The following is an 18,449-nucleotide window of genomic DNA, read 5'->3' on the forward strand; positions in this document are numbered from 1 at the left end:
AGTAGCTGGGATTACAGGCACCATGCCTGGCTAATTTTTTTTTTTTTTTTTTTTTTTTTGTATTTTTAGTAGAGCCGAGGTTTCACCATGTTGGCCAGGCTGGTCTCGAACTCCTGACCTCAGGTGATCTGCCCACCTCGGCCTCCCAAAGTGTGGGGATTACAAGCGTAAGCCACCGTGCCCAGCCAGTATTCATCTTTGCTTGCTTTTGTAGTATTATTCATTTAAGATTTTGTATTTGTTTATGCTTTTCTTTCTCCAACATCTTTTTCTTTTCATTTAGTTTGAGTTTTCCTTTTATTAAATAGTTGCAGGCCTTTTGGCTCTCAGTGGAGGCATTTTCTACTCTGTTCCTGTACTCCCTGATTAATTCATTCTTTAAAAAAATCCTCTAAGATTAATATTCATCATGGGGGCTCAGAAAATGAAAGTCTTTTATAGAGTAATTCTAAACTCCAGAATAATTCATTTGTTCTGATGCTTATTAAGGACTTGAAGTTGTTTGTTTGCTCTTTCTGTTTTTATAGCCAAATAAAATTTTGCAATACTCATAATAATATTTGAGTAGAACTTTGTAGTTTACAAAATACTTTCCACACTCACTCACATTTGAACTTTAACAACCCGAGAGCTAGACAACACAGACACTATTGTGCACTTTTACAGATGAGGAAACCTGAGGCTTAGAGAGCAGCGTTTAAATCTGGGTCTTTCTGTGGTGCAAATATGAACATATGAATGAAAAATGCTGAACTGTTTTGTTTTTAACACTTGGGATTACTAAAATGGTATGTTTTTTTAAGCAGTCTCATGAAAGATGTAGATGACTTAAGAAGTATGGATCTATAGGGGATTATGGAGAGAGAGGGTTATATGTCCCTGATCATTGTGAACAGATACCATGGAAATGGCTTACAAAACCCCTTTTTGTGTCATTGTCAGGAGGAGGATATGAATCTAAATACTCCTGGCTCTGATTTTGTGCAGGAATTTTCATTTATTTTTGTCCAGTTACTTAGACTAAGGCTAACAAATATATAGTTTCCTTCTGGGCAGAAACAGAAGTAATCACAAAGTAAAATAAAGCTTCTTAAAAATGCATTGTCCTAGATTTAAAGAATGTTTCCTTAGAAAATGCTATCTTATTTTGAGATCAAAGGTCTTGAAGACTCTTAAAATTTCTAAAGTATTATAGAATCAATAAAAATTAGAACTGGGAAAGTCCTTAGAGATTAACTCTAGAACCGTTAAAATATTTGATCTGGAAGGAACCTTTGAAGAGTCCCAGATCCCCAAATTGTGTGAGGTGAAATTGTATACTGTTGTGTCCTCAGCATCCTGATGGGGCCCATCCAGTCTCTCCATGGCCTCTTGATTATAGGGGCCTCTTATTGCCTCAAGAATAATCCATTCCACAAATACTGTATGATTTCACTTATATGCGATAGCTAGAATAATCAAATGCATAGAGACAGAAAGTAGAATGGTGTTTTCCTGGGCTGGGGGAAGAGAATATGGGAAATTATTGTTTAATGGATACAGAGTTTCAGTTTTGCAAGTTGAAAAGAGTTCTGGAGATAAATGGTGGTAATGGTTGCACAGTATTGTGAACTTACTTAATGCCATTTGAACCACAATTAAAAAAATAAAAACTAAGCAAATGAAGCGGAAAAAAAAAAGAATCCATTCCATTGCTGGACAGCTGTTGGAAAGGCTCTCTATGATGACTCCTATTGGTGTAAGTTTTGTACTCTGTAACCACAAGAACGAATCTAACCCTTTCACCTGGATGAAGACACCCAGCGAGTCCACCCCAGTCTTTTAAAGCTAAGTAGCCTTTGTTCCTTCACTAGGTCATAATATTTTGTTTTGTTTTGCTTATACTTTGTTTGAATCATGATCAAGATATGGTTCACACATTGTGATTGGCTGATACGCCCTTTAAATGTCTATTAATCTAGCGATTCTTCTGTATCTATTTTTTGCTCGCCTATTCACTTGGTCTCCTGTTTAATTTGTTGAAGAAACTGGGCCATTTTTTCCGTAGTGTTTTGGTACTAGCATCTCCCCGCTCTATAGATTAACATATTCCTCTGTCCTCTGTATTTCCTCTGAGTCGGTAATGGGCTTGAGAGACCTTGATTTATAAATGTTTGTAGTCCAACTACTGTCATCCTTTGGCATCTGTGGGGGATTGGGTACAGGACCCCTCCCTCACCCCTCTACCACCACTGATACCAAATTCCATGGATGCTCAAGTCCCTTATGTAAAATGGTGCAGTATTTGTGTATAACCTATGTACATTCTCCCATATACTTTAAATCATTTCTAGATTACTTACAATAACTAATACAATATAAATGCTATGTGAATCATTCTATTGTCTAGGGGATAATGAGAAGAAAAAAACATATATGTTCAGTACAGACAAAACCATCCTTTTTCTTTTCAAATATTTTGCATTCATGGTTGGTTGAATCCACGGATATTAATCCCGCAGATATAGAGGGCCTACTGAAAATAATGATTCAGTTTAGATCTTTTTTGAGAGTAAAGGGACACAATTTTATCCCCCCCCCCCCAACTTTTTGTTTGGAAAAGTTGTAAAGATGAGGAAAAATTATAGAATGAACACCCATATGCCTTTTACATAGAATAATGTAATGAACACCTATATGCCTTTTACATAGACTCCCCAACTGTTAACATTGTGTCATGTTTACTCTCTCTCTCTGTGCACATTAACATACGAACACCCTTAGGTTTGTTTTTTTCTGAATCATTGGAGAGTAAGTTACTCTCCAATCATAACACTTTACTCCTAAATTTCAACATAAAGACATCATAACACTTTACTCCTATATTTCAACATATATCTGCTAAAAACGAAGATATTCTCCTACATAATCAGAATTATGTTCACTCAAGAAATTTATATTATATCTAGTTTATATATTGCCTAATTCTGAGTATACATTACCCTAATTATCCCAATAATATCCTTCATAGCTGTGGATATTTTGTAAAAGTCCAGAATCCAACCACGGATCACAGATTATATTTATATTTAGTTTTCATGCCTGTTTAGTCACCTTAATTGGTCCTGCCCCCTGCCTCCCTTCTTTTGAGAAACAGGGTCTTGCTCTGCCACCCAGGCTGGAGTGCAGTGGTGCAATCACGACTCATTGCAGCCTCAACTTCCTCAGCTCAAGCCGTCCTCCCACCTCAACTCCCCAAGTAGCTGGGACCACAGGCATGCGCCACCATGCCTGCCTAATTTTTTTATTTTGTAGAGCTGGGGTCTCCCCGTGTTGCCCAGGTTGGTCCTGCCCTTTTTTGGGTATTATATGACATTTTTTCAAGAGTACAGAAAAGTTGTTACAGAGAATATCCCCCAATTTGGATTTGCCTGATTGTTTCTTTATGATTGGACTCAGGATAAATGTTTCTGGCAAGAATACTATATAGGTGGTGCTCAGTCCTTTAGGATAGGCACTTGGAAGGCACATGATGTCACTTTGTCCCATACTTGTTTATAAAGTGTCCACCAGATTTCTCCATTGTAAAGGTACCTTTTCCCCATGGTAATTAATACATAATCCATGGTGTTTAGTGGTTACCTTTTTAATAGTTTTAAAAACCATATGCCATTGGTCATGGGAGAAATTGTATGGAATAGATTATGAACACATTAGTAAAGAGTTATTGCCACTGATGGAAAGATAATTTTAGACATTTGTTATTCTGAGGAATGGAGGGGAGGTAGCAAAGTAAGAAATGGGCTCTCATGAAGACAGACTTGTGTTTGAGTACAGCTCTACACCTGAACCTATGCAACCTTAAAAATGTTACTTAACTTCTTAGATGCTCAATTTCTTTTCTAAAATAGAGATAATACTCATACCGGGCAAGATTGTTAAGATGATTAAATGAGATAGTGCAGGAGCAGCCTGTAGCCTAGCAGCTGCCCCAGGGCCATTGCATGGGAGACAAGGAGATCCTTCCAGAGCACAGTTTGCTGGATGTATTCATCTTTAGACTTATTCATGAGCCTTCCTTCTTGGGATTAGTTTAAAATATTCAGGCATGTTGTTGGGAAAATGTGATCAACAGGTTAGGTGCCTTTGTGAAATTTCAAAGAAAGGAATTAAGAATTTGGAGATTTTTGGTATCATTTTCAGACATCTTAAATATAACTTACCTGTAGTAGATTTGTATAGAATCAAATTGCCATTTACTCAGACCTTTTTCTGACTGGAATCCATTTTACTTTATTATAAGGGATTTTTTTAAACACAGTTTATATGTAGTCTGATTGAGAACAGTGAATCATAATAATCCTGTGACCCATTTACATGCGTTACTGTAAAAGTTTCATTTCGTACAAGTGACAATTTTTAAAAGTTAATTAGACTTGGCTACACGGAGGTTAGCAAAAAGTGCTTTGAATTATCAATAATTCAGCAGGGCAGACATTTCTGTATAATGCAGTGGTTTTATAGAGTATTGTGAGATAGTTATCCTTAAAATAAATGGTTGTGAGCATACATCAGCATGGCGGGGTTCGCTTGAATGTAGCGTGAAGTGATAACATCTATGCTTTCTATTATTGGACAGAGCGCGGGACATCAGTCTTTCTGGCCATGAACTACTAGCAACCTTTGTCCTTTGTGTTACCTTTAGTTAAAAACGAAAAATGAGCATGAATGCTGGCTGATGGCCATGTCTCTCTCACAGCTAAAAATTCATCTGGGAAAGAAAAATGGGTTTGGAGATTTGGATTTGTTTCATTGCATGAATGATATGTGACATTCTGTAAATTATTTATCAGTGCAAGGATGACAGCAGTAGCTTGAACATTGTTATATCAAATGAAAGCAGGAATCCCGTTAGTAAGAGGACCGGGTTTTAGCTCAAATCTATCAGGGGAATGTTGTCACTTTAAAGCCAGATTGTTCTTTTAATTGCTATTTAAAGGAACAAAAGTGTTCCCAAGGTACTGCAGTTGAGCAGTTGCAAGTAATAACTATGGATCCATAATTATGCAGTGCTGATTATCTGGCATTTAAAAAACTGTGGCTACAGTCAGTGACCAATTTGTTATAGCTTGTCTCTTTTCGTTTTTCTAGTACAGAATGTTTTATAATCTACTTTTTAACTGGGGCTACAGAAATACATTTGCATAGCTACCTCAGAACGTAAAGCCTGTGCATATTATAAGAACAAATTAAGCTGAAAGTAAAGGGAAGATAATGAATGCCCTTGTAAGATGAGATTTGCAGTCATATTAAACAATTTGTGAATGTTTGGTCATGAGATGGTTTTTTGTTTTTGATGACATGTTGTCCCAAGGAACTAAGGCATTTGTTGGAATCATTATAACCATTGATTTTTTTTGTTCTTAACTAGCATATATTTCCTTCATGTATTCAGTTAGCAGATATATTTTGAGTGCCTACTATGCACCAGGAAATGCATTAGGCATTTGGGCTAGAGTGGCTGAACAAATGAAGTTTATTCTATGCTGATGTATATTTAGAGAGTTAGACCTAGCAAAATCTTGTTTTTAATTTACATTTAAAAACATTTGTGATTATGTTGGGTGTTCTTGCTCTGAATTTTTGATTCATGAGATTCAAATATAGAGACATCATAGTAACATTCAGATGGCTAGCAGACAACATGTGTGAAGGCTTGGAATATGCGGTAAAATTACAGTTTTCGTAGTTTTGGCTGTTGAAAATAATGTGACCAGATCTGTAGGCACTGTCAGCTATTCCTATGGATGGGAATACTAGCATTGCTGATAGTAGTAAATAACAATGGAAATACTAAAATGTATGTAGATTTATACATTGTTAAAAGCAATTTTCATACGAGAGTTAAAGGGTGCTAGGGGACTAGACAAATGTTTTGTTGTTTCTTATATAAAGTGGGAATGTCAGGCCGGGCTCGGTGGCTCACGCCTGTAATCCCAGCACTTTGGGAGGCTGAGGCGGGCGGATCATGAGGTCAGAAGATCGAGACCATCCTGACCAACATGGTGAAACCCCATCTCTACTAAAAATATAAAAATTAGCCGGGTTTGGTGGCACGCGCCTGTAGTCCCAGCTACTCAGGAGGCCGAGGCAAGAGAATCACTTGAACCTGGGAGGCAGAGGTTGCAGTGAGCCAAGATCACACCATTGCACTCCAGGCTGGCGACAGAGTGAGACTCTGTCTATAAATAAATAAATAAATAAATAAATAAATAAATAAGGTGAGAATGTCAGAGATTCAAGGTTTATCTTTTTTGTTTGGTATGGTGTGGTTTACTTTTGAAGACCTTCGTGGCACAAAAGCCTTGTTAATAATGACCTTTTCAAGTGTCCCACAGAATCCTGCTCATTCTATTATTCTGTCACCTAAAAACATATAGATATTTTATGTCAAATATTTAGTAGGTGAATAATAGCAATCTGCGCTGCAATATTTAATAAAGTCTTAACAGTCTATACATGATATTCATAGACTATAATGCTGAACGAATAATTTATTTTAAGCATATAGATAATAGAAACAATTGAGATGTCCAATGAATCCTTAATTATGTTCATTTCAGGCAAGCTATATAATATATAAAGGTATTAGATTTCACTGGTTTAATAAAAATGACTTCTGAGTCATACATTATACTGAAATGTATTCAGGTAGTACTTTAGTGTCAAATAATTTAAGAGATTTATCCCAGCACTTTGGGAGGCTGAGGCAGGTGGATTATGAGGTCAGGAGATCGAGACCATCCTGGCCAACATGGTGAAACCCCATCTCTACTAAAATACAAAAAATTAGCCAGGCATAGTGGCGCGCATCTGTAATCCCAGATACTCGGGAGGCTGAGGCAGGGGAATCGCTTGAACCCGGGAGGTGGAGGTTGCAATGAGCCGAGATTGTGCCACTGCACTACAACCTGGCGACAGAGCGAGACTTCGTCTCAAAAATAATATAAGAGTTTTTTTACTAGCAGAAAGTGTTTATTTAAATACGTTATTTAGCAGTTTTTCTTTGTTAAAGAAAGAAGAAGCTTTAAGTGAAAAATGTAAAAAGCTTTTGATTTTAATGTTTTTACTTTTGAAATGGAAAAGTGACAGTATTTTTTATTTTAATTTTGTCATAGCCCCGTGCTGATCCCATTCCAATATGTAGCTTCTGTTTGGGGACTAAAGAATCAAATCGTGAAAAGAAACCAGAAGAACTCCTCTCTTGTGCAGATTGTGGCAGTAGTGGTAAGTTGTGTTTTTCCTATGTGTTGTACAATGACTTCCCATTATCATAGCTTCATGCTATTTGTCTCTCTATTAAAACTGTATTGTTATTTAAGGCAGTTATATGGTAATAGCATAGGCTTTAAATTTTAAAAGAAAAAGTAAGGAATAGAGAAAAAAGCGTGAGTATGTTAGTACTGACATATGGATATTATATATGCTTATATAATACTATACATATTTATGATTAAGCTTTTATTTTATACCAGCATTGGTAATTCAGTGTGGAGATGTCTGCATTATAGGTAAATTCCATGTAGAGAATTCTAAGCTTTCAAGCTGAGTACAACCCCATCTTTAAAAATTAATAGCAAAAAATAAGTAAAAATTAAGCTTTTTCTGTTAATCTTCAAATTTTTTCCCCAGACTACCCAAACTTTTTTCTCCAAAGTCTTGTTTTAAAATTCATGACTATTTCTCTAGTTATAGTAATCTCTAAAAAAAAAAAACAAAAACAAAAATCGACAGAACACCATAGCTAATTCTTGTTTGGGAAGTCTTGAGATATACTGGCTAGGAGCAAACTCAAGAGCCAGCCATAGCCCAGTTCCTCTGCCTTGAGTTAGTTACTTGATCATTCTGAGCCCCTGTTTCCTCATTAGAAAATTAGAGATAATGGCAGCACCATCCTCTTGGGTTTTATGGGAATGAAATGTGAGGGCACAAGTAAACACCCTGGCACAAGGTCTGCAGAACTATGGTAAGTGTACTACAAATGTCAGCAGTGTTATGGTTTAGCATGTTTGATATTGTTATCCTTGATTGCTGCACGTAATTTAAAATCTTATCATCACTTATGACAGCTGCTTGATGGTTGGGTAGAAGAAATGTTTCATGCTGAGGAATGACAGTGTTGTGTAATGATTCTTATTCCTTATATGAAGGTTTAACGTGATAGGCCCTTTGTGGTTCAGCAGCTTTCAGGTGCTGACTAGAAGGGAGAGCCTTGGAAATAAGACATTTCAAACCCTGCTTGAAAAATGCATTCTGACAGTCTTTTTGATGGGCTTTACAGATTCATTAAAATTCTTTTACCTGGCCATGGCATCATGGATAGTGACAAAAGGGCATGGAAACATTATCTGTACGTTCAGTTTAATACATTTCAGCCCCACGATATCCCTGTTTTATGCTGGTGAGGTAGTGCCTCACTCATCAGTTCTGACTCTGTCGTTATCTTTTGGGTTTTCTCACGAGGCTCATTCTGAATGAATTATTCTTTTGTGTAACTGCCTGATCAATTTAGTGGTGTTCACTTGTCTAGGGTTTACCCTTTGTGGCTTTTAAGGTGGTACTTTAAAAACACCCTTCCCTGTTTTTATTTCTTTAGGATCTATTTGTCTGGGTGCCTAGACAGATTAAAGATGTACTTAAATGTGGGAAGAAAAGTTCCCTTCATATATTTCCTTACCTCTGGTGATACACTTACTTGAGTTGATAAGAAGTTCGAGATCATTATCTTCTAGATCATAACTTCAAGGCCTCCTTCACAGGGTATAAAGGTGTAATTCTAAACAGGTAGATCTTAGATTTTCTGATGTAATCAATCTCCCTTTGTCTTTCCCGGATTGAAGACCTGCCAGAGGGGAGGTTGATCTCCTTTATGTTTGAGGTCACTGAAAATTTCTTTCCCCTGGTGTTTCTTACTTTTCGCTCAGACTTTTTCAGGGTAAAGCCAGGGGTGTTTAGGTACAGTGTTATGTTTTCTCTGTTCAAAAATATCCTCTTGTTTTCTCTTTTAACAAATGGAGAATAATGACTTGAGGATACTGTCCAGAGGGTTTATGTGGCTGGTGTGGTTTTGTGAGCCAGTCTTCAAGTGGAGAGAGCCAGAGGCTTTGGGGCCAAGGTATGGGTCATGGCAGAAATTCAAGCCCTGGGGTCACCATGTCTCTTTGTTGGGGATAAAGGATGCCTCAGAGTGCTTCTCTGGACTCTGCGATGGGATCCGGCTCTAGTGTTGAAGTTCACTTAATCTTCCCTTGAGTGTGCTGTGCCAGCCTGGATTTGGCTGCTTTAGTCAAAAAAACTATTGTTCCTAACGCAGGGAAATGCTTTGTACATATTTATTCATCTGATAAATCAGAAGAATAGACTTTGTTGTTTTTTCCTCTTTAAATTGAAGGGTCAAAATAAAATATAGTTCATTTTAGGGAGTTTGGGGGTTCTTGTGGTTCTAAGGCTCTGTTTTGACACCTTGGTAATTCTAAGGAAAAAAGAAAACAATAGGCCAGCATACCTCAACAGTGTCCTCAAATAATGGCGGGAGCCCTGTTGTCACAGTTCAGCATTTCAAGTGGGAATTACAGATTAGTTGGGACTCCTAGTTGACCTTATGGAAATGGCTGCCTTCTCACTCTCAGAAGAGTCTATTGGTTCTGGGATTGAATTGAGACCGTTCATAATGTTCAAAGGGATCCCAAAATGTAAGTTGTTTATGTGAAAAAATACCCATAGCAGCATAAAACCAGAAAAAGGAAATATAGATGGCAGCCTGTGGGGAGGATCATTCTTAAATGTGTTTCCCATATGTGCCTGATGCTTTTCAGTCGTCCCTATCTGAAGTACCATTCATATGATGTCACATTTAGACTCCGCTTAGATTTCATAGATGAGAGTAATAAATGTATCCTTCTGCTTACATCATAAAGTAAAGCCAATTAGAAATTTATCTGTTTTTAAAGGGGCTCGATGCTTTAAATGGGCAGTATTTTCTTTAACAGTTTTTTTTTCTACTAAAAATTCTTTAAAAAAAAAAATCATTCAAGTTTATATGTAGTAAAAACGTGAGGTGAGGTATGTAGTGCCCGGAGCTCTGAATGTGGTGTCCCTAGCCTGGGTTCCAGTTCTCTTCCGCCACTTGCTGGGTGTGTAACTTTGGTTTTCCTCATCTGTGGGGTGTAAAGGAGAATGTCTGCACCCTCCATCCACAGAGCTATTGTGGGATCCAGTGAGAAAATGATAGGAAGATGATCAGTAACTGTAAAACATGAGACAAATGTGAAGGATTATTCCAGCCACTAATATGAATGTGGGAATCATCAGATAGTCTAGGTCTGTGGAAGTGTTAGAAATGATTTTACTTGACTTTCATGGATCAGCCTACTTTGAAATTAACACTGTTATATTCTCTTTGCCTCATTAAGACCAAATTATCTTTAATTAGCTTCACATAAGTATTAGATATTATACCAAATGAAATTTTGTGTCTGCTGCTCAGATTGCTGGGTGGTTAAATCTTACTTACAGATGAGTTGTGTGCATGTGTGTTTTCAAATTAGCAAATCTAAGATAAGTGTACAGTTCAAAATTACAGCATCATTCTAAGTGGAAGCTCATTGAAACGGGAGACAGAAGAAAGGCTGCTGTGATGCAGCTGGGTGAGTGAGAGAAATCCCTTTTGTACAATAAAGGGAGCAAGAGCCGTGGAGTAGAATATCAGTGCACCCTCGGGAGACCTGAAGTCTTCCCTGGGTTTGTCTTTATTTGTGTGTTAACCCTGAACAAAATTTGCATGCTCATGGAGGGAACTGGTAGGGGCAGTGTGTGGATATATGGACATATAAAAATATTTTAAAAGACCACTAGTTTCTTAAGGTCACCCCAGGAGTTGGTTGCTTAGTCATCCAGTTTCACATTGACTAGATGCAGATTGAATCATTAGGTTGGAAAGAAGACTCTTGACTAGAAAGAAACCTAAAGATATGATCCAAAGAAGAAAAGAGGCCAGGCGCTGTGGCTCACGCCTGTAGTCCCAGCACTTTGGGAGGCCAAGGCAGGTGGATCACCTGAGGTCAGGAGTTCAAGACTAGCCTGGCCAACATGGTGAAACCCCATCCCTACTAAAAAAAGGAAAAAAAAAAAATTAGCCGGGCATGGTAGCGCATCCTGTAATCCCAGCTACTCGGAAGGCTGAGGCAGGAGAATGGCTTGAAGCCGGGAGGCGGAGGTTGAGGTGAGCCGAGATTGCACCACTGCACTCCAGCCTAGGTGACAAGAGTGAAACTCTGTCTCAAAAAATAAAAATAAAAAAACAAAGCAGAAAAGATTGGGGGTTGGGGGAAAGAAGGTGAGCCCCATCCCTGCAAAAGCCCAAAGCATGATTGACCATCCAAAGAGATGTAACTTCACTAAAACTGTGCTTGTCTGGGTAATAGTGACCTCTTTGTAGCAAAATCTAATGATCATTTTTAAGTGTTTATCAAAATCTAATTGGTATCTTTTAATCCACACCAAATAATTTCTCTTAGTCATATTTGATCTTGTAGAGAATCTTTTTTCTTGAAGTGTTCTTTTCCTTTGGCCCCTGTGACACCATATTATCTGTGTTTTTTCTCTACCACTTCTTTCCACATATTTTTGTTAGCCCCTTGGTCCTCTCTCCATTCCCTAAATGTTTCTTCAGATGTCTGTCGTGGCCCTGTGTTTGTTACTTTGCCTTGTAGCTTCTACTGAGCTTCTGACCCTAGATACAAATAACTATAGAGCTTTTCCAACGAGTCTACCCCCGAGGCACCTCAAAGTTAATATCCAGAACAGCTCATCAACCTTGCACTGCTTCCTCCACCCAAAACAACAGCCACAACAATAACAACAGAAATCCCAGCAAACAAACAGTATCCCACCTCTCCTGGAGGATTTCCTATATTCAGCAAGTGGCACACCGTTCGCTACTCACTCAGTTACACAAACTAGACATTTGGAGCCATCCTCTGTCCTATTCTTTCACACCAAGGAATCACCAAAAACACATTGATTCTAAATCATAATATGTATCTTGAATGCTAAATTTATCGATGCATCCCCACCAGCCAGCCCCACTCAGATCTGCTGTTATAATGACCTCAATCTAGGCTTCACCCTTTTTCCTCCAATCCATTTTCCATACTATAGCCTAAGTTACCTTTTTAAGTTATAAATCTGATCACATAATTTCATAAGTGGCTATCAGTTGCTCTTAGGAGAAATCCATATTCTTTAATATAGCCCCCAAAAACTTCTGGATTGGGCTCTGGTTTAACCCCATCTTACATCACTATTCTGTTCACATTCTGCACATTGGTTACATTGAACAACTTCTCTCTCCTTGGATATACCTCGTTCATCTCTCCCTCTGTTCATGCCATCTTCCCTGCTCTTCCCCTCTTCTGGTCCCATCCAATCACATTCATCTTTTGGGTCTCTTTTTTAGGGAGGCCTTTCTCTAACTTCCTGCTAGATTCTCCCATATCCCTAAGCCACCCCATTGTAAGGCATTAATGCTCATTCTTGTTTAATGTTTGTCTTTCCTGCTGGGCTATGTGATCTGGAAGGGTGGGAACCATGCCTCTCCTTTTCCTCACTGTATCCAGTGCTCATTAAATATTAGTTGAAGGGAGGAGAGATGGACAGATGGATGGTCAGGTAGCCAGTCTGAGGGGCTTAGTGTCTGAGTCGTTATTAGTTTTCCATTGCTACTGGAATAAATTACTACAGACTTAGTGGCTTAAAAACAACACATTTTTAATCTTATAGTTGTAGGTTGGAAGTCCATCATGGGTCTCACCAGATTAAAATCGGGGTATCAGCAGGGCTGGCTCCTCTCTGGAGACTTTAAGTGAGGATCCATGTTCTTTTTTTTTTTTTTGAGATGGAGTCTCACTCTGATGCCCAGGCTGGAGTGCAGTGGCGTGATCTCGGTTCACTGCAAGCTCCGCCTCCCGGGTTCACGCCATTCTTCCACCTCAGCCTCCCGAGTAGCTGGGACTACAGGCGCCCGCCACCACGCCCGGCCAATTTTCTGTATTTTTTTTTTTTTTTAGTAGAGACGGGGTTTCACCATGTTAGCCAGGATGGTCCTGATCTCCTGACCTCGTGATCCACCCGCCTTGGCCTCCCAAAGTTCTGGGAAGGAGAGGATCCATGTTCTTATCCATCTGGGTTATTGGCAGAATTCAATTCCTTGTGTTGACAGGACCGAGATCCTGGTTTTCTTGCTGTCAGGTGAAGGTCATGGCCAGGTTCTACAGGCCACCCACATTCCCCGGCTTGCAGCCCCCTCCCCATCTTGAAAGCCTGTGATAGCAGGTGGAGTCTCTCTCATGCTTTGAACCCTTCCTCCTCCTTTTGCCATTTCATTTCTAACCAAGTCCGTAAAAGGTTCTCTGCTTTTAAGGATTAATGTGATTAGATCAATCATGCCCACTCAGATAATCCAGGATAAACTCCCCATCTCTAGGTCGGTACCCCTAGTCACTTCTGCAGAGTTCTTTTTGCTACAACAGGTATAGTATGTTTACAGGTTATGGGAATTAGAGCACAGATGGCTGGGGCGCTGCTGTTGTTGTGCTTACTACAGAGCCTGTGTTTTTTCTTCCTCAGTACTTTCTCCAAAAAGCTTTTCCACTGGTTTGTAGTTCCATTGGTACTTGTTTAATTTTAAATAGTATTCCTTTGGTTTTGCTAGATAAAACTATTGTAAGCTACTAGTACTTGACAATGTATTTGTGTAAAATTGAATGAGTGAATGAATATGTATTATGGCTCTCAAATCTGATAAATTGCAAAATACAATAGTAAAACAAACTCCAGAAAGACAAAGCACCATGAAACGTGTCAACAGAGAGAACAAGAATTTTAGAGGAAATTAGCTGGACGTGGTGGGGTGTGTCAGTAGTCCCAGCACTTTGGGAGGCCAAGGCTGGTGGATTCTTGAGGCCAGGAATTCAAGACCAGCCTGGCCAACATGGCAAAACCCCATCTCTACCAAAAAAATACAAAACAATTAGCCGGGCTTGGTGATGCGTGCCTGTAGTCCCAGCTACTCGAGAGGCTGAGGTGACAGCACTGCTTGAGTCTGGGAGGCTAAGGTTGCAGTGAGCCGTGATCATGCCACCGCACTCCAGCCTGGGCAACAGAGTAAGACCCTGTCTCAAAAATAAAAAAATAGGCTGGGCGCTGTGGCTCACACCTGTAATCCCAGCACTTTGGGAGGCTGAGGCAGGTGGATCACAAGGTCAGGAGATCAAGACCATCCTGGCTAACACAGTGAAACCCTGTCTGTACTAAAAATACAAAAACAAAATTAGCCAGGCATAGTGGCGGGCGCCTCTAGTCCCAGCTACTAAGGAGGCTGAGGCGGGAGAATGTCGTGAACCTGGGAGGTGGAGCTTGCAGTGAGCCAAGATGACGCCACTGCACTCCAGCCTGGGCAACAGAGCGAGACTCCGTCTCAAAAAAAAAAAAAAAATTAAAGTGTTAGAGGAAATTGTTGAGTTTATGAAATCGCTAAACCAGAGGTAAGGAATTACTTGATCAGTAGCATTGCTTTCCTTTATCTAATTACTATAGATTGTGCAGTAGTATATCAAGACACGTTACGGTCTTTTGTGTTATTTTAAAGTTGGCCATGAGAAAATAAAATGGAAATATTTCTTCATCCCTCAGCATCCTTTACAGAATCATAGAAATTTAGAACTGTAAGGGATCTATGGCCAATTCTCTTGAGCTAAATAAAGGTAAGATTGCTGCCTAAAGGAAAGATAGGCTGAAGATTTTAGAATTTGATAGGGTAGCTTAAATAGTAGTAGTTGAGATACAGTATTGCTTAAAGTGAGAGAAACCATTAAGAGAAAGAATATTCCTTGCCCCTGATTGAAAATGGCTGAAATCCACTAATTTTCAAACTGCATAATTATTAAAAAGTCTGTCTTTCATAAGATACCTGTGAGAATAAATAGTAAGCTGTAATATGATGTGAATTACCTTAGTTACTGAATATTAAGTCACAAAGTACAAAAGCAGATTTGAATGTAGAGAAAAATTCAGTGCGTGAAATTGAGGTCATATGTGCCCATGATATATGCCTTACAGGAAGTAATAAAAAAGAGGGGGGAAGTAAGTGGTATACTTTTAAGCTGATGGGATCCATTTTAAGGGTGGAATTTAAATTGCTGTTCTTTAAAAGTTAAGTTTTTACCCTCCTCACTATATAAGGGGACAGAGGGGAGGGCTCTGATCAAAGTAGACCTCTCCCCTCCCCGCTTCAGTGTGCTTCTTAGAAGTCGACAAGCAAGCTGTCTTTGTTTGCCGTTCCTGAGCAGAAAGAGGAGATTGATACCATTTTTATCTATTCAGACTTTTTCCTTGCATTCATTTGAATGAGAGAAGCCTCATAAAAGAACAGTGTCACAGGTTAAATGCATCTGCCTGGGTGTCTCTCCTGCCTGAGGTCATAATCCTGTGACAATATTTTATTTTCTCAACATCTTAAATACAGATGTTTAGAGTTTTTTTTTTTTAACTCAGGAATAGTGTGCTTTTATTAACGGTATTGGTGATTGATTTTGAATGTTTTTACTTCAAAAAGCCAAATCTCCTGGTGGGTGGAATTTTATGAAGCACCTGTTAAGCTTTAGGGAGGAGGACCTTTTTGGCAGCAATCCAAAATACATATTTAAACAATGAGCCTGCCAAAGTCAGGAAATTATAAAACAGTTTTGAAATTGCAGAATCTGCTTTTTTTTATTACCCCTCAGGTTTCCTTTGCAGCTTGGTTGTAAGTTCTTTCACATGGGATTTACTAATGTTCTTACTATTTAAAGACCAGGTTTAAAAAAATAAAATCAAGTTTGGAGATCTCTTCGGGTTTATGTGATAAAAGACCATTAGATTTTAAACTGTACAGCCTTCCAAAGAATCTAGGCTCACGCTCCGCACACCTCTTGGAGGAATCTATTACACACTGGCTCATGGCTGGCTCCTTTGAATGGCATTGCCCCTCAGGGTCTCCAGTTTTCCTCTGTGAAGTGAGCAGTAAGACCTGGTGTGTGGAGCGCTGCTAGGTGAAAAGTGTGCCCCAAACAGGAAAATGGGGGAACCTGCTGAGGCCACACTTCTTGGTGGGTCCTGTTTAACCTGGATCTCTCAGCTTCTTAACTCTGTCTCTCAAATTCACTGTTTTCTGCTCCTGCTTCCAGAGTTTAAACTCAGTGACCCAGGGGCAAGATGGCAATGGAATATCCTCTGTCTAGCCCAGCAATGGGATGTTCTTTGTGTGCTATTGGATTTGGGTGGGGGAGGGCATCTGTAGTTATGTTAAGCAGCCTCAATTTTTTATTTAGTTATCTGTTGAGTTTTATGATTTCATCACACACAGAGAGCAGGAATTGTTTGAACTTTGGCAACTCCCCTCAGTGTGTGGCAAACCAGGACCCCCTGGGTAGATGGTGGTTGATGAAGACGGCAAGTACAGGTGCAGGAGTAAGAATGCCTGAGCCTGTGTTATCTTCAAGTTCTCAAAGGCTTCAGATTGGAATTGGTATAAATTAAGTTCTCTTAGGGAAAACATTCGTACAGTCATTTTGTTACATACAGGGAAAGAAGGCAAGGGGAAAAGGCAGAAAGGAAAATCTGTAATTCGGATTCTCTGATCTGTTGGCATTTTCAAGTTCCTAAGGTTCATTGGCTAGCCTCATCAGCTATCTATTAAATATTAGGGAATGGGAGTTTAAAAAAGTCAAAGGCACCATTCCCATCAAGCAATTTGCTTTTTATTCTCATAGGACACCCATCCTGTTTGAAATTTTGTCCTGAATTAACAACAAATGTAAAGGCCTTAAGGTGGCAGTGCATCGAATGCAAGACATGCAGTGCCTGTAGAGTCCAAGGCAGAAATGCTGTAAGTATGGCTCCCGTAATCCGCCTCCAGGTAACTCGCTAATTTCCAGTGTTAAGGTGTTTTCATTTTTATAGAGTATGGCTACTTTCTTTCTAAAGCTTTAAATACACATGATGTCAAACTGCAACCAGGATCTTGGTGCACTTTCCTTATATTGTATTAATGTTAATCCAGTAACAAAAGAATTTTTGGCCTTTTACAGTTGGTTTCAGTCTCAATTAGTCTCTAATATGTTATATTACAGGATAATATGCTTTTTTGTGATTCCTGTGATAGAGGATTTCATATGGAATGCTGTGACCCACCACTTTCCAGAATGCCAAAAGGTGAACTTCTAAACTGTACTAAAAATGTATTTTATTACATATTGGTTAGCTTTGTCCTGAGGTCTGACAGCTCAGAGGTATACAGGTTCTTTAAGCATTTTTTTCATCCCTCCCACCTTCCCTATACTTCTGAGTTTAGCACAGGTTGTGAATAGAGGAGTATAAAAGCATAGAAAAAAATACATATATATATGTGTATATATATACATATATATAAAATAAAGGCTCTAATTCAGACCCAGGGATGAAAAGACCATCTCTCTCTCCAAACCATTCCCCTATTAGAATAAGATTAGATTATTAAGGTCAAAAGTTTAGAACACTTTCCATATTATTCAGCACAGTGTTAAGAGCTTAACAAATTTTATATTTTTGAGGATGATAGTGACTCCAAAGTCCTACAACAGGAAGCCATCACCATTTTCTTGGCCATTAGTTGATATTTTGAACACGAGCATCTGAATGATCTTATAGCTGATTGTGTCTGATGGAATGTGGATTTTCTTCTGTTTATTGTGTAAATCAGCTAAGCTCAGCCTTTTCCCCTCATTTTGCAATATATTAAACATTTAAAAATAACTTTGCCTTTTTATTATAAAATCCATAATTTACATTGTGGAAGATTTAAAAAGTACAGATAGACAAAAAAGGAATAAAAATAAAAATGAATTGGAAATTTCCTTCTCTGCCTTCACATACCCTTTGAAGGGAAATGGAACATTCTGTACATGTTTTTGTAATGTACTTTTTCCTCCCTCTTAATAGATTATAAGCATCCCCTACATCATTAAATATTCTCCTAAACATAGTTTTTAATAAGTATGTAGAACTCCATAGTATAGAGCAGGGATTACAAACCTGGCAACTATGGGTCACAGATATGCTTTGTTGGTACAATATTTTTACAAGTTTGAATCTGAGTCCTCTGGGTGGTGCGTGTGTGCTCCAGTTTGCCACAATCTCACTACTCCCTGCTGTCTTACGTTCCAATTTGCTTCAGTCACATACATTATACAATCTAGGTCCTTCCTGGAGGTATTTGATTTTCCAACCCTCTATATAAATGAACTCTAATTTATTTAACCAGTCCCTTAGGGTGGATATTACAAATGTTTCCAATTTTTTCCATCCACAATTATTTCCTTGAAATAAATTCCTAG

General features: G+C 38.7%; 1 protein-coding gene across 35 annotated transcripts in view; it reads left to right on the forward strand.

Annotated features, from left to right (window-relative positions):
* Positions 1–18,449, forward strand: part of KAT6B (lysine acetyltransferase 6B) — a 207,689-nt gene that overhangs the window by 127,877 nt on the left and 61,363 nt on the right. For 32 of the 35 annotated variants that reach the window (XM_047424912.1, XM_047424919.1, XM_047424927.1 and 29 more), the window contains 3 exons: positions 7,158–7,266; positions 16,848–16,963; positions 17,208–17,289. In XM_047424912.1, the coding sequence (XP_047280868.1) occupies positions 7,158–7,266; positions 16,848–16,963; positions 17,208–17,289 (307 nt within the window). The remainder of the gene's footprint in view (positions 1–7,157; positions 7,267–16,847; positions 16,964–17,207; positions 17,290–18,449) is intronic. The other 3 variants (NM_001370134.1, NM_001370135.1, NM_001370133.1) reach the window with 2 other exon arrangements.

Source organism: Homo sapiens, chromosome 10, assembly GCF_000001405.40.
Source record: "Homo sapiens chromosome 10, GRCh38.p14 Primary Assembly".
Lineage (NCBI taxonomy): Eukaryota > Metazoa > Chordata > Mammalia > Primates > Hominidae > Homo > Homo sapiens.